The sequence below is a fragment of the Homo sapiens genome, chromosome 3, assembly GCF_000001405.40.
Source record: "Homo sapiens chromosome 3, GRCh38.p14 Primary Assembly".
Lineage (NCBI taxonomy): Eukaryota > Metazoa > Chordata > Mammalia > Primates > Hominidae > Homo > Homo sapiens.
In genome coordinates, this window is record NC_000003.12 from 20,545,998 (window position 1) to 20,548,857 (window position 2,860).

Here is a 2,860-nt window from a genome sequence, read left to right on the forward strand (position 1 = left end):
AGTCCCTTTTTGATACTCATAAATAACTCAATGACCTCGAACATTCTCTTTTATATTATGCTATTTTAGTTCTCCATTTTGATTGTGGTATTTTAGTTCTCCATTTTGATTGTGGTATTTTCTCATCCCAACTTGAGCAGGGGTATACTGTAACAATGTCCATAAATCTGGGCTTTGGTACTGGGGGAAAAGACATGGTGAAACTAAATATTTATGTGGGAAGACAGGGAAGCCAAATGTTTGAAAAATATCCCAGGCAACTCTGATAATTTCTTCCCACTATTATATTTAAGAATGATTAAGGTAAAAAGTCATTTCCTTAGATAGATTTCCTAGATACATTTCCTGTCTCTACCATATATAATTTAAAATCACTTCGGTATGCGACTTTCCAACTTACGCTTGATTTGGGAGAGTATATATGGCTGTGAATAAAGTATCACTAATTAAGAAATCTGGAGGCACAGGCCCAGGAGGTAGCTTTTCTAGTCCTGATTGGCTGGAGCATACCAAGTCTATGAGCCCACCCATACAGGGGATATTTCCAAGGAATTGGGAGAAAAGTCGGGTTTATTTACTCCATCTTCTTACTGTTTATTGAAAGATTGGGTTGCCATGGTGATGGGAAAGAGGTATAATAAGAGATTGGGGAAAATGTTACAACATGGAGAAGGATTTGGTTTTTCATCTAGTTAAATGGAAGTTGACGTTTTTGAACTACATTTGTATTATCTCATTGTCCTTCCCCTGTCAGTATGCATCACAAAGTCATTAAAATACTTCAGCATCTATCTCTGTTTTTATTACTTTATCGTGATGACTCTTGGGAGTCCTTAGCCATTGAAAAAGGCGTGTGTGTGTATGTGAGTGTTTAGGGGGGTGCAGAACATTTTTCACATTCCTATTTTGTGAATTTCAGGTTTCCTGAATTAGATTGTCAGAAATTTTGCCTTTTACATAAACATTTTTAAGGAATCACTTTTTGAATTAATCAATTTTACTGTTTTGTGCTTTCAGATTAATTTCTATATTCCTCTGCTCTTTTTTTTTTTTTTTTTTTTAATCCCACTTGTTCAGTTTAGTCAAGAAAGTTTGGACCGAATTAGTGAAAATATGGAATTGTGGAGTATTTTTAAAGAACTGAAGTAGTATTAATTTCAAGTATCTATATGATGGTATTTCACTTATAAAACTATACATGGTGTTTGTCCTTGGGGACTTAATTAATGGAAAGATAAAAGTGGTATGTAATCAGCTTATCAACAGAAGGAAGAAATGCGAGCATTTTTTTTTTAATTTTTTTAGTATTTATTGATCATTCTTGGGTGTTTCTTGGAGAGGGGGATTTGGCAGGGTCATAGGACAATAGTGGAGGGAAGGTCAGCAGATAAACATGTGAACAAAGTTCTCTGGTTTTCCTAGGCAGAGGACCCTGCGGCCTTCCGCACTGTTTGTGTCCCTGGGTACTTGAGATTAGGGAGTGGTGATGACTCTTAATGAGCATGCTGCCTTCAAGCATCTGTTTAACAAAGCACATCTTGTACCGCCCTTAATCCACTTAACCCTGAGTTGACACAGCACATGTTGCAGAGAGCACGGGGTTGGGGGTAAGGTTATAGATTAACAGCATCCCAAGGCAGAAGAATTTTTCTTAGTACAGAACAAAATGGAGTCTCCTATGTGTACTTCTTTCTACACAGACAGAGTAACAATCTGATCTCTCTTTCTTTTCCCCACATTTCCCCCTTTTCTATTTGACAAAACTGCCATCCTCATCATGGCCCCTTCTCAATGAGCTGTTGGGTACACCTCCCAGACGGGGTGGCGGCTGGGCAGAGGGTCTCCTCACTTCCCAGACCGGGCGGCTGCCAGGAAGGGGCGCCCCCCCACCCCCCAGACGGGGCGGCTGCCAGGCGAGGGCGCCCCCCACCTCCCAGATGGGGCGGCTGCCGGGCGGGGGCGCCCCCCACCTCTCAGACCGGGTGGCTGTGGGGTGGAGGGGCTCCTCACTTCTCAGACGGGGCGGCCGGGCGGAGGCGCTCCTCAGTTCCCAGATGGGGTCGTGGCCGGGCAGAGGCGCTCCTCACCTCCCAGACGGGGTGGCGGCCGGGTAGAGACACTCCTTACCTCCCAGACAGGGTGGCCGGGCAGAGGTGCTCCACACATCCCAGATGGGGTGGCCGGGCAGAGGCGCTCCCCACATCCCAGATGATGGGCGGCCAGGCAGAGACGCTCCTCATTTCCTAGAGGGGATGACAGCCAGGAAGAGACGCTCCTCACTTCCCAGACTGGGCTGCCGGGCAGAGGGGCTCCTCACATCCCAGACGATGGGCGGCCAGGCAGAGACGCTCCTCACTTCCTAGACGGGGTGGCGGCCTGGCAGAGGCTGCAATCTCAGCACTTTGGGAGGCCAAGGCAGGTGGCTGGGAGGTGGAGGTTGTAGCGAGCCGAGATCATGCCACTGCACTCCAGCCTGGGCAACATTGAGCACTGTGTGAGCGAGACTCCGTCTGCAATCCCGGCACCTCCGGAGGCCGAGGCGGGCAGATCACTCGAGGTCAGGAGCTGGAGACCAGCCCGGCCAACACGGCGAAACCCCGTCTCCACCAAAAAATAAAAAACCAGTCAGGCGTGGCGGCGCGCACCTGCAATCCCAGGCACTAGGCAGGCTGAGGCAGGAGAATCAGGCAGGGAGGTTGCAGTGAGCCGAGTTCGCGGCAGTACAGTCCAGCCTCGGCAACAGAGGGAGACCGTAGAAAGCGGGAGACGGAGATGAGGAGACCGTGGAAAGCGGGAGACGGAGACGGAGACGAGGGAGAGGGAGAGGGAGAGGGAGAGGTATTCCTATGCTCTTACTAAT

At 48.0% G+C, this 2,860-nt stretch overlaps 1 annotated feature.

The window, feature by feature from the left end:
• Positions 1,427–1,627: a silencer, noted in NCBI's record as "peak4567 fragment used in MPRA reporter construct". NCBI's record gives its function as "represses an SCP1 promoter by STARR-seq MPRAs in K562 erythroleukemia cells {active_cell/tissue: K562}" and the evidence as "EXISTENCE:reporter gene assay evidence [ECO:0000049][PMID:32103011]".